This window comes from Homo sapiens, chromosome 1 (genome assembly GCF_000001405.40).
Source record: "Homo sapiens chromosome 1, GRCh38.p14 Primary Assembly".
NCBI lineage: Eukaryota > Metazoa > Chordata > Mammalia > Primates > Hominidae > Homo > Homo sapiens.
In genome coordinates this window covers 86,417,778-86,431,689 of record NC_000001.11, presented here as the reverse complement: position 1 = coordinate 86,431,689, position 13,912 = coordinate 86,417,778, and the positions used below count along the sequence as shown (strand labels likewise).

At 38.3% G+C, this 13,912-nt stretch overlaps 1 protein-coding gene across 2 annotated transcripts in view; it reads right to left on the bottom strand.

Moving 5' to 3' along the window:
* CLCA2 (chloride channel accessory 2) overlaps positions 1 to 7,519 on the bottom strand; it is a 32,383-nt gene extending 24,864 nt beyond the window's left edge. For both annotated transcript variants that reach the window (NM_006536.7, XM_011542448.4), the window contains exons 1-4: positions 7,257 to 7,519; positions 6,214 to 6,351; positions 3,122 to 3,272; positions 720 to 828 (exon numbers count right to left, since the gene is read on the bottom strand). In NM_006536.7, coding sequence (NP_006527.1) covers positions 720 to 828; positions 3,122 to 3,272; positions 6,214 to 6,351; positions 7,257 to 7,442 — 584 coding nt within the window. In that variant the 5' untranslated portion in view covers positions 7,443 to 7,519. The remainder of the gene's footprint in view (positions 1 to 719; positions 829 to 3,121; positions 3,273 to 6,213; positions 6,352 to 7,256) is intronic.
* Positions 7,520 to 13,912: the final 6,393 nt, after the last annotated feature.

Genomic DNA, 13,912 nt, shown 5'->3' with positions numbered 1-13,912 from the left:
GGTATCAGGGGAAAAAAAGATAATGAACATGTAATGATGATATTTAACAGGATTCTTTCCTAAACAAGCGATCTCAAATGTTGTTGATAGGAATGTAAAACAGTGGCAATTGTAGGAGAAGAATCAGTCAATAGCTACCAAAATCACCCTTTGACTCAGTAATTGTTGGAAGAATTTGATATGTTAATCTGTCTGCACGTATGAGAAATGACACATGTGTAATGCTATGAACTGCGTGTTACTGATAATACAAAAGATGGGAAACAACCTGTGTGTCCACCAAGAGGAGACTGGTTGAATAAATTATGGTATAGTCACATAATGGAACACTATGCAATTATAAAACACAGAGCGAGGAAAAACATATGTTTCTATTCATTTGAATTTGCCTGAAGAAATATTGAAAAAATAAACAAGAAACTAATCAAAGTGGTTACTTAGAGGGCATGAGGGGAAACAGTGAAGATAGTGCTGCAAGCAAGACAGGTACAAGCATGACTTTTTATATTGTTTTGATATTTGAACCACATAAATACCAATTTAAAGAAAAATGTCATATAACTTAAGAACTGAAAAGTGAAAGGATCTCTTTCTTATCAGCTAAGTTTTAGCTGCAATTAAATTAATTGCTTAAATTAGGCAATTATTTAATTGCTTAAGTTATAAGCAATTTTAGAGTCAAATAAATAATGAATTATAACATGAAAAAAAGTACTAACCTTGTCACTTTAATTTGATTTTGCCCATTTATGTAGAAAGGTTTGTCATTGTTATACTCATCGAACACACCCCAACGGAGGTGGGCCCATTCATGGACAAACACTCGGCCTGCGGAAGAAAGAACTTTTGCTTTTGAGCTTCTAAAATCTCAGCAATGTGCCTTGCTAACTAGTGAAGACGTAACATTTCTTGACCACACATACTCTTTGGAATGACCAAAGAGTTTAAGTTACTTCCCTCTCTCCCCTTTTCCTCTCCCCTATCCTATTCCCATCTCCTCCTACTCCACCACCTACCACCATAAAAAAGGCAGCATGAAAATATGTTTGGTCTTGTAAATGCAGTAATTTACTTGTTGCACATCTATTTGAAGCTAGTGAGTAGTCCCACATCCTCTCATCTCCCCAGTGAAGCTGCCCAACAGGTTTCTATTCAGCTTTGTAGAGGCCTCTAAGTTCAGGGTTTGGAGAAAGGGAAAGAAGCATATCCAGATAGGCAAATAAAGCTTTCCTAATCTTCTGTCTGAGCTATCCAAGCAGACCTGCTTTTTTTCTTGCAGGTAATTCTTCTATCTAGAGCAATAGTTGAAACCTAGGAGCTAGGGAAGGAGGAAGGAGCAAAAAAGGAGACTGCAGAATGTTCTCCCCAGCCTGGATGGTCCCTTCTCTTTTATTTTATCCCTTATTCTCCATGTTTATGTGTATTTTACAGCTCCTAGGTCAGGGAAACCCCCATCCTCTGCATGAGATCCTTTAGAACTTCCTCTCTCTCAAAATCTTACATTCCCTTCAAAGTTCAGACCACAGCTTTCCCATATAAGCTTTCCAGATGAACTCCCCTCCCAAAGCACACATTTCTTTTTTCTGAATTATTTTAAGTTCCGGGAACTCAGGAAGTGTGTGCTGAGTTGACTCAGGCTGTGGCATATTGTGTAATTTTTGGACCTCGAGGCAAAGGAAGGGAGGGTAGCAGTCCAAGCTGTGAGTGTTGAGGGAAAGATTGTGCCTACTCATGAAATTTAGAAGTGCTGATGAAATCATGCTTGAGCAGAGATTATCAGCATCTCAAGGTTACCAGGAAAGAAAAAAAACTACGTTTTTCTAAAGATTTATAAAGTGTTTTGTAAAGTGTATTTTATGGAGTGTTTCACTCCACTTCCTGCTAACTATACAGAGGATAACAAAATCCTTGTTAACAAAACCCTAGTTTAGATTTAACTAGGGATAAAAAAGAAAATTAAGACATCACTTGAAAGGCACTACTGTTACATTAAATCAAAAACAAAAAATAAAGATTGGGATAGATAGTCCTTGACTGGCGAACTGTGCTTACTATTTTCTCCCTCAGATCTCACTCACTAAATACCAGTCTCTAGGCCTATGACCCTGACTTCTCTCCCAAACTCCAGCCATCAATATCTAACCACAGGCTGAACCACTTTCCCTGGCATAGTCTATTGCTCTTCACAATGAATTTGCCTAGATCCAGACTTGTGGGATTTCTTCTTGAAGCTGGTTTTTTCCATGTCTGACAAAAACCTGGTGTGTGCCTTGTTCCTTAATGCTGTCTCCACGTGCCTCTTGCCTTTCCTTCTGCAGCAGTTCAGACCTCTTTTTGTTTTTTATCTCTGGAGTATTTCTCATCGCTTAGAGTTGCTAGAATTAAGTACGATAACATTTGAAAAGGAAACCACAGAGCGGCTAGCGCATAGGAAATCCTCAGTGTCCTTATTACTATCCTTCCCATCTCACTGTCTCCACCCATTTTTAAGTCTTGTGGCCTCATACCTCGACTTCTCCCAGTTATTCTCCTGATATCCAGTTTCTCCTTCATTGATCAGAGGAAGCCAGATTAATCTTAAAACACTGCTTTGATGGAGTCACTCCTGTGCTTAGAAACCTTGAGTGGTGACTTGAAAATGTGGCCATTTTAGTGCATCACCTGGCCCTCATGTATGTTTCAACGTTTTCTCCCACTGCCCACAGTCTCCCTGCACCATCATCAGGGTCTCTGTCTCTCCTATATGCCTTTAATTTTTCTGCTGCCACAGTTTTCTTCATAGTCTTCCCACTATTTTCTCCCTTCTTTCCATTTATCAAAATGATGTTCAATCTTGAAGACCTTTTCCTTTGTGAGGACATTTCTGACCACCCTTGACTCTAAATGACGTTTCCTTGATTGAATTCTTATAGCACTCCTCTCTGGGCCACTAATCTGGTGCTAAACTCTTTCGAGTTCACTTTAGCCCCTCATCTTTGCATGGGCATATGACCTATCTCCCCCTTTGAGTGGTAAGTCCTTGACAAGTTTCAGGTTTTGTGAGTGAGTCCCTTTCAGCACCAAGCACAGAATATTATAAGTAGTATTGTCCAATGGCTATTGTTTTATTGGTCCCACTTACCTCGTGATCCGTAGCCAGCTGTTAAGTTATCATTCAGTAGGAAATTAGGTGTGAAATGAATGTATTTTCCCTCTTTTCCACACCCTCTGTATTGTAGGGTGTATGGATCATCTCCATGTGCCCCATACCAGTCAGTCACTATGACATTTGCCTAAATTAAAAGAAATGCCTTGTAATACTTTCTCAGCTCTGTTGTTGGTGACATAAATGTATACATTCATTAAAGCACTTTGAACTGTACACTTAAGATGTGTGCATTTTATTGTATGTAATTATAACCCAATTTAAAAACAAAATTGAAGAAAAACACCTTGTGGATGGAGTTTAAAATGCACCCACAGCTACATATCAATAAAATCACTTGGGATTTCCAAAAAGGTCTATGTTATGAAAGCTTAGCAAATTTTTATGGAACCTAATTACTTCCATTTGATCTTTCCACATTCCAGATTAAAATATTCTCAAAAGTCAATCCTGTAAAAGTCTGATATAACAAAACACTATAAAATGCAATTAAAATATTTGAAGAAATTCTAAAAGCATTTATACATCGTTCAGAACCATTCAGAAGGCTGTAAAATGTTACAGCCTTTTGTGAACAACTTTCTGTGGGTTATTTTATTGGTGTAAGACAATAGAACATTATTTCTTTGAAAATTTGTCCTTTCTTTCCTGTAACCAATTAGATCAGCAAAACGATCATTCCAATGAAGTTATATTTCATCTTATGGCCTGACCATTTCCATTACTGTTGCTAAAACAGATTTTAAGTCCAAAACTGAAATATCCACTCATATAACTATCAAGACAAGAAAATGTTATATATAACATTGTTTCTTTTATTTTTGGGAAGAAAGATGACAGATTGTTCTGGATATGCACTTAAAAGTTAAATATGCTGTTAAGTTTTTTTAAAAGCTGATTTTAGAAAAATAGATCTAATACGATCCAATATACACAATTATCACTCTATGTACAATATGTATATGTGTTTTGTGTGTGTGTGTGTGTGTGTGTGTGTATGTATGTGTGTCCATCTGTGTCTGTGTGTGTGCCACTGAGAAGAAGAGGACAATACAATTTTTCATTTTTATTTTCCATGTTTCTACATTATTTAATTTTTTTCAATGAGTATAAATTACTTTTATAATAATTAACATTTATTTTTAGAAAGATAAGAATTCAAGCCAAGGTCATTACAAGGAAGTACCTACAAAAAAGGCTGAAGAGGTCACACTCTTGGATAGTCCTCACTTGGGTAAAACCTCATTCCTATGTCTGAAAATTTGTCCTGAGGCCAAAAGGAAAGAGTGCCCTTCATGGAATGGAATACTCAGAGGCTGTTTGGGGTTACTTTATACCTTATAGACCACAGTAATTCAGCTCTTATCTACTTTTCCTAACCCTTTCCCCCTTCCATGATTCCTACCTACATCTCATTGTAGACTTGGAAGGACAGGAACTACCTTGCTGGTCCTTGGGTTCTCTGAAGTGCCTAGCGTGGTCCCGTACATAATGATCATTCACTGTTTGCTTAATTGACATTCTGAGGTTAAAGAATTGGTATCCAACAGATAAATGAACAGCATCCAGGGACGATTGTTTCCTTTGGTCTTTCCGTTCACTCATATTTTCACTTTTGCTTTACTTATTTCTCTCCCCTCCATTAGGATCAAGTGTTACCTATGGCAACCTGGTTTTGGTGTTTGTTGTCTCCAATACTTCTTAGTTCTATTGAAGGCCCAATAGATGCATTAAATCTCTATTGACAGCTAGAGACAACAAAGCTTAGTGCAAAAAGCATGGGTTTTGGAGGCAAATAGACATTCAAATTATGGCTCTGTAATTTACTAGCTGTTAGATTTGGGACAAAGTCCATACCTTATTCAAGCCCCAGTGTTTTAATTTGTGATCACAGAAACTAATTTTAAGTTATGTGAGAATTAAATAATATATGTAAAATGCCTGGCACTTAGTTGGAGCTTAAACACTAACTCTTCCCAGCTTACCCCAGTTCCCCCACCTATCCTATCTTCATGTGCAAGCATTCTCAAATGCTTTCATCTGGTCATAGGTCAAATGCTTTTCACAGGCTCTTTAACTTCTTCAGGACATTGGGGTACCTATCTGGATTGCTATACCATTCAATTTCTGACAGAGTAGCTTTGAAGGAGAGCTAAGAATGAAACAGACTTAGGAAATTTCATACTGAGGGTCAGAAATAAGGAAAGGGGAAAGCTGTACCACATGTTTGAGTCATTCTGTTAGAGATGTAGTTACAATCTCAAACCCACTCCATTGCTGAAACCCTGAGATAAGTTGCCAATGCCTCTACTTCTGGCCCTTCTGGTAGCTGCAATGGACTCTTGTTCACAGTTGACTTCAAACAGTGATTTACCATTTATATTATTTATCATTTATTTATAGTGTGCACACTAGTATGTACCAGACATCATCATGGGTGCTTAATCATGATCTGCAACTTATGAGAGCCTTTCAAGGTGAAGTTCCTCTATAGGTGGAAAAAAAAAGGTAGCCATTCCCCTACTCATCCACATCCCCACATCCTTCCTCCCTTCCTTCTAATCTCCTTATTCCCCTAAAACAATATTCTGGACTTGAGCTAATGTGAAATTCTGATAATCTACACCATGGCATAAGATGGCAGTCATATTTTTATATGCATGGTGGTTTATATTTCTGTCTGGACATGCATGTTTATTGCTCCTGACAGGATGGTAAATGGGTATAGTCATAATTGGAACTGTTCCCTTTGCAGCTCATCCTCAGTAGGATAAAACTAGTTCTTGATCCTCAACCAAACTTTTCAGAAAGTACTCCATAAGTTACAAAATAAAGAGATCTTCTGAGAAACTACTTAGGCTATGGCATTTGACTCATTTTTTACTGCACAATTTGCATTCATTTATTCTCATATATTTTGTTGATAACATTCTGCCCATTAATATTATTTGCATTGTTAATACTGATGATTTGTTTTTACTTAACTTCTCACTTTTATCGTTTGAGCACAGTATATTTTGGTGTTTTTTTTCCCCTTGAGATCATTGAATGAAATCCTGGATTCTTACCTTTTCATATGATTCTTGTTTTATTTTGCTGTTATTATTAGCTTTCCATGTGGCAGGTATTAAAATCTTTATATTTCTGAAAAATACTCTTCTCTTGGTAGCATTAAATAGGTAAAATGAAGCTTCAGTTATCATTTCCTACAGCCAGACAAAAGAAAAACTTACTTTACCACTTGTAAATCCTGTATGTTTTGGTTTTCTGGTATGCTTAAACAGTAATAAAAGACAATGAAATATTTTGAAGAGACCCATTTCTTTTAGAGAAAGCCCTAGACTTTGGGAAAACATAGGAGCAAATTTTTAAAAAAACTTTAAATGATTATATGGAAGATTTTAGGACACTAATTATATGTCTGTGCTTGCCTTCATAGTTTTCCCAATTTTGAGAAAGGCTTTTAAGCTTTTGTGGAACAAATCCTTTTCATGTCACACCTGTGGGCACATTCAAGACCACACCTTATGATGCTACTGATTTCACTAAAGCAATACTAAATGGAGGCTCTTACATCATAGAGCTATGATCCTCCCTTGCCATATTAAAGTAAAAATAGTCAATTATGTTACAGCACATTCAAGTGAAAAGAAATAATTTTGCTTTTTGGCCCACCGTGCAGACTCTCACCCTTTCTGCCTGAGAATTCTCACCCTCAGGATGGAATCTAGCAATATGATTTTAACAAGCATGCTCATTATCATGCTTATTCATCAGTTAAATATTCAATCTTTGTTGCCACAATGGGTTGTTATTTTTCTAAGTTGCTACCCCAAAAACAGTCATGTAGGAAAACAAAAGAGCTGAAATTAGTAGCAACCAACAATAACAAAATAGAGGGCTAGATCAACACTCTGTGAGCTGAGACTACACAGAATTAGATGAACAAACTGGCTTAGTTAGCCATAATCATAACGTTGTGGCGCTATCTTTTAAAAATGCTGTTCTCTGTATTACTCAAATACAAACCAGGCAGGGTAGTTAGCTTCTAAATAAGGCTACAGGTCTGATCAAATGGGATGCTAGTATCAATTTCATAATTTCCACTCACCTTAATGTTTGAGATGAGGTTCTGATTCTCAGGTACCTGAGGATTAATTGCAATGAGCAATCCATTATACCCATTGTCTTGAAGCTGTACTCCAGCTCCCAGGAATGGGAGTTCTGAACTTAAGGCAACCAGGAGAGTCACAAACTTCAGGTTGCAAATAGGACCTGCAATGCTCCTTTGGGTCATGTTGTAGAGAAGCCTCCAGTTCACTCACACTGAGCCTGCTGCATACATTGTGTCAGGTTTTCAATATGGATGCAGATGGTTTCTTCCTGAACTTGCAAGGTTTTAGAACACAAGATGAAGGAGGTGTCTTCTTTGAAAAGTCTGGGGTGGATCCATCTGGGACCTGCCTCTACAAGTCCTTTTCCTCCAGGCAATGCTACACTTGCCTGTTCTGTGGCTGAGCTGCCTCCTGAATCATGGTTGGGCAAGAAACATTCTGCCCTTCATTCATTTTATAACTTTTCAGAAAGAAGAGGGAAATAAGACCAAAGGAGCTTAAAAGCAGGAAATATGGGCTGGAAATCAGTATATCTGGACTGTTCAATCCACTTGCAGTAGAAACACAGAAGTCTATAGTGATTTTCCTCTCCTCATTTTTCATAACCTCCTCCATCAGTTGGCACAAGTACTTTCTACTGCCCTCAAGTCATTTTTCATTTGTTGCAAGATTTCCTTGCCTGTTTATTTTGAAGATTTAGAAATCCATTCTGCAGCCCAGTCCCTACAGCCCTTGGGTCAGATAGTCTGGGCAAGCTCTCAGCTGATGGCTGGAGGTCAGATATCAGATATCCCCCAGAGAGGGCCAACTGCCAGGAACTTGGGTGCCTGTGCAGCCCTTTCCCTCTGGCCTTGCTACCTTTTCTCTCTGCCTCAGGAAGAAGAATAGATTTCTCCTTCAGCTCTCTCCTAAGGGCAAGGCCCTGCTTCAGTCAACCCTCCATTTCTCCAGGACCAAAAACAGGATCTAATATATAGTAACCATCGCAAATATTTTATGACTGATTCATAATACCTGATATTTACCTCATGCTTTAAAGTTTACAAATGAACTCATTTAAATATCAATACTCTGATGCAGGTATAATTTGTACTTTTCAAATGAAAATAATGAGTCTTGGAAATTCTGATTATGAAAATTAGCCAATGAGAGAAGAAACTAACATTTTTTGAGTGATGGATTTTATTATGCCTATTTTATGGGTGACAGAACTAATGTTCAAAAAAATCTAAGTAACTTGTTCAAGGTTGGGAGTATTATCATCGTACTAGAATGAACCAACTGACTCCAAATTCCACTGTTTTTCAATATATCATGTTCTCTCTTAGTTACTAAATTATCTTAGTAACCTCGTTTCTCCCTCTTCTTTGTGTTTAAGAATGCCGCACAGTGACATCTATTGTAAAACTAAAGAAAAAGTTTTATTCACAGCGTCAGAGGTCCACAGCAAGCAAAACCTGTGACTCTTCCCTGCTGTGGCCCCGTCTCGGAACATTTCTGGGGAGGGGAGTGTAGCATTTAGGAAACGGTCTGTCCCTGCTCTCAACAGGGATTTCACCAACATTGTCTGTTTTCAACATCTTCATGGGCAGTGTGATGTCACTCTTCTTCCCAGCAAGGTTGGAGTCTTCTGAACTTGGGCTTTGATATTGCACTGCAATGTTGACAGATGTTGAGGGAATTTTTTTCCCCTTGCTGTCTTGCTTGAATCATTTTCTCATGCTTCTTCTCACCTGCTTTTCCTTCAAATTCCAGCTGTGTCCTGGAAGCCTGGCCTGAGCTCCATAACTAAGTCAAATTCCCTTCTTTCATGCTTCCATAGCATCAGATAACTCACCTTTGCAGTATGATCATGGTAACAATGTCAAATTTATATTGTATAATTGATTGTCAGCTTCCTGCTGTATGAAGGAAGGGATGGAGTCTGTTTTCATTCAGTACTTCCCCAGCACCTATCTCAGTAAACTCTCTGTTGAATGACTGAATGAATGGAGTCAGGAGAAGTAAATAAAACAAGATAGTGAAGGAGCCCCGGGTTATAGTGTAAAAATTCTTTCCCCCACCCTTGTTTTCTAGAAGGCATCTCCTCTGTTCTAGAGCAGTTTCCCTCTTGCTCCCTCTTGACAGGCAGTGCTTGAGTATGGTGCTCTCCTTGAAGAATGGGATGGCGCTGGTCATTACGTGGCTGCCCAAGGGTCTTACCCTAAAGTTCAAAGGTCAGCTTAGCTGCCTTTTCTCCCAAACTGAATTCCCAGCCCTAGTTTTTTTCTGCTTGTTCACTGTGTCTTCAGAGTAGAAGGCCAGAGGTGTGGCAGCTCCAAAGGCTCTGTCTGTAAATGTGACTCATTGAGCAGAACAATGCACTTCATTTCAAATATCCCTGGCAGTTTATTTTCTTATGCCAACCTCTTGTGATTTTAAGAATACAAATATTCCCATCGATAAACCAATATGCTCAAAAACTAAACTCGTAAGCACACTGCAAGAGCGGCTTTTTGCCAACACTCAGGGAAGTTTTTCATGACACTTGTATAGGTTGTTTGCTATGGGAGGGAGTGATTGAGGACTGATATTCAGCACTCTCTCCACTTGTTTTTATCATTACTATGGTTCCCTTGGGATGTGAGGGTGGAAAATATTGGCTAGAGAGTGCATGCAACTTTATAAAGAACAGCTACAAATGAACAATTTTGTCCAGCTTCACTTGGGTTGAAACCTGAACAAGCTCACTCAGGCTTTGCTTAGCCCGGGTTGAGAGTCTAGGCATGATATCTACTCTTATCTATCTGATTTTTTTTAAACGTCTAATTCAGAGCCCTTTTTGTTATCAGCAACCAGGCCTGGGACCGGGCCAGCTGAAGGTCTCTTTTTACTGCCTTCTTCTTTCATCAGGCTGACCTTACAGCCTGAAAAGGTGGAGAAAATGAAATTGAGTAAAGGAATTAGAAATTATACTGAGCACAGCATCTTTTTGTGAAGTGTGACTTCGTCAATAAAGTGAACTTTTTATCCTTTCATTAAACAAAAATTAACTGGTCATAGCCATAGATTTTAGATTTTATAATATCTGAGAAAGGAAATATACCTAAAGGAAAAGAAAGGAGGAATACAGTTTTTAAGTGTTTATTTCAATGTTATATAAACTCTAGGAATCTGCTTTGCTTTTATTCTGCTTTCAAGAAAATAAGAGTTATTCAATTTCAGTAACTGAAGAATCTAAAGCACATCTTTGTTCATTGTCTGACTCTGTAGTTCAACCTGGCCCCAGAAGGGCCTGTCTATTTTTTTCATGGAGTCAGCTGGTATAGACCCACAGTCTAAGTGAATAAAACATCCAATTGGTGTCAGAGAAGTCAGGAGATTTGACATTTTGGGGAAATCAAAGAAAATTTTGGATTAGTTCCTCTCAGGCTTTGGTTTCAACAATCCCATTTAGAAGAGGAAAGTGTAGTACACTGTACGGTTGGGCTACACAGCTCATGGGCCACGTTAGTTTATGTAATCCCTGTGAAATAAATCAGAAAAGAAGAGAGACAAATTGTCAAGACTAAGAATTTAAACAAAACACAGTTTGCCAAGGGCCCAGATGGTACATTTCCTACCTCCTTTATCCAATTTCCTTCAAATTTAGACTCATTTTCAAAGCAAAGGAACAAAGTGGATGGTCCAGATAGGGTCTGGGAAGCCATTTGTATTGTCAAATCACCACCATGTCAAAGCATGGAGATCAAGCGCAAAGGTGAAACACAATGAAACATAAACTCAGAATTGAGCATGTCAGGATAAGCCAGTTGGTTTCAGAGATAGCTGCTTGAGAACCTGATGGTGAAAAGATTCCAAAGTTGAACAAAACAGAGACTGTCTCACATTGCAGAAGGAGGCACTGAGTTTGGATATTGTAAAGACACTCTCGGCAATAAAGGCTTATGGGCACCGGTCATTATTAGAAACAATCTCTCATGTTTGTATGGTGCTTTGCACTTTTCAAAGCCCTTCTTAATCATACTGTATCTCATGAGTCACAGGAACTTATAAATTCTGCTTCTGTGGAAATTAAAGAATAGTAAGAGTAGTTATCTTCTTAAAGGACCATTTAGGTGAGATCTGTCTTGGACACAAGGTTAAGATTTAGCTCACAGGTTCTCTAAAATTTATTCCATGCATATCAGTAGAGTGTACTGTGGAATGTAAAGAATGGGAGATACTGGTTTTATTCACTTGCTATAGGATCCAAGTCACATCACCTAAACTCTTGTGGCTTGGTTTTGTCACCTTCAAAATAAGGGGGTTGATCTACTTAATGGTAGTATTTTTCCTCACTTTCCTCATTCAATTCACTTTGGCAATAACTCAACAAATTATCCTGTGTGCACACAAACACACCGAAACCCTCCAAAATTTGCCAAAATGAATGAAAAACAAGAAATACTTTTAATGATAACCCAATTAAAAATGGGAGAAAGTGTATGGAACATTTATCATTTGCAAAACAGCCTAAACTTGCCTTTCGTAAAAGACTGTTATATCTACTATATACCAGAGAGTATATAGCATCATGTGGATATAAGATATTATCATTATTACTACTGTTACTTTTGAGAGAAAAAAAAAAGAGAAAGCAGAAGTGTAGGCAATTTATTAAAGAGATGAAAAATAACCAGGGAGACTCAGAACAGTACACAGAAGTAGAAGAACAAGATTTCGACTCTGTTCTTCCCTAGTTTCCCCTTGATTGCTTCCTGCTCTGACAGTGGCCTCCGTATGTTTCTGAGACCCCAGGGATTTGCCAGATTCTCCTCTTGCTCGCAACCCCACTGGGAAGGAGTAGCACGTATTTTTTGTTCTCCTTCCTCTACTTCTGCTGCTTCTAATACTCCATTTCACATTACCTGCCCTGTGAAGAACAGGAAGCAACTATAACCAGTTTTTCAACTGGCAACTGGGGGATTAGGGCTCCCCCTTCTGTTCTTGGGGTGCAGGTATCTGGGGCTATGAATCTCTAAATAAATTCTCAGCAACAGAATGGGCCTGCACAGACCTCCCTTCTAAAATGTACCAAAAGCTGTCCAGAACAGTGTTTTTCAAGTTTTATTATACCCAAGAATCACCTATTCAAATGCAGATTCTGACTCAGTGGGTCAAGATGAGACCAATATTCTACATGTCTATTAAACTTCCATTATGCTCCCTTACATTTCCAATACAAATGTAAATTAATTTGTGACTGATGCAGCCTTTATTTTATAGTTACCACTAAAATATAAATTGTGAATTAACAGGGAATTATTAATTTCAGCCAATCAATGACATCTTTAATAAGTGAGGATTGCCCATAAAGAATAAATAAATCATTATGATAAACATTAATAACTTACGCTAAACTCAACCTAATATATGAAATATATATTGGAAATGTATTTATGTGGCTGGAGCCACTGGTCCTTGGGCCATACTTGAAGTAACCTCTGGGTCAGGAAAGCTCCTGGGAAATGTCTAGGGATTTACTTCGTGTTTATAGCCTTTACACCAGAAAGAGGTAGTCTTTATAGTCTTTAAACACATTTTTACCTTCTATGGAAAAGGCCTGTGTATTCTTCAGAACTCAGGAGAAAAACATTGCGTTAGTTATGGTGACACCATTGTTTAAATATTCTTTGTAAAGAAACAACTGCAAAGAACTGTGTGGGGTTTTTTTGTTTTGTTTTGTTTTTAAAAACAAACAAACAAATGAAAAAACCCACTGATCTGTAGGTTTTGGAATCCTAAAATTCACAATCACTTCTCTATTATTAAAACCCTGCCCTGCCCCTCTTGGCCTCCAGTTCAATCCGTCTAGTTTCTTATTGATCATATGTGAGGCATGATAAGATTGTTTTAATGGACACTTTTTTTTTAATTTCTTATGCTTCCTCAGTGATCTGCAACACATAGCCTCTAACAAGTGATTTTCAATGATTGCCTTACTCAGGAGAGGACTGCTCCCTTAACTTTTCTTACTCTCTCTTTTTGCACACTCGTTCATTCATTCACTCAAAAGTAAAATTCTGTCAATTATATCTCAATAAAGCTGTTAAAAACAAAACTGTGTTCCTACTAGATGCCAGGCACTTTTCTACGTGCTGGATATGAATGAACAAAACCAACCAAATCCCTGTCATGATGGAATTTGCATGCCAGAGAAGGGAGAGAGACAACAAAGAAATATAATGTAATATCTAGTGGCCATACAAGAAATCAGATAAGGTGGGGAGGCAATGAGAGGTGGAAGTTGGGGTTTCCTATTTTGTGTTAGGTGGTATGAGGAAGGCCTCACAGATAAGATTATCAGGAGTGAGGGGAGGAATCACGCAACTACCCTAGAGTAAAACAGAGCAGGTAGAAGGGCAAGAGGCTGAGACTGGCTGGTGCTGCAGTGGAGTGGGCACAGGACAGCAGAGTGAGAGAGGAGGTGAAATCTCTGGCTCTGGAGAGGCTAAAGCATCCAGGTGGCCTCTGGTGCACGGATCATGCAAAGCTTGCAACTTTATGTAAAGGATGGGAGTTTACTCTGTAAAATGGGGACTCAGTGGTAAATTTGGCAGAGTGATATAGTATGACCTTCAGACGTTCTTTTTGTAAGGACCACTCTGGCTGCTGAGTTGAAAGTCGATGG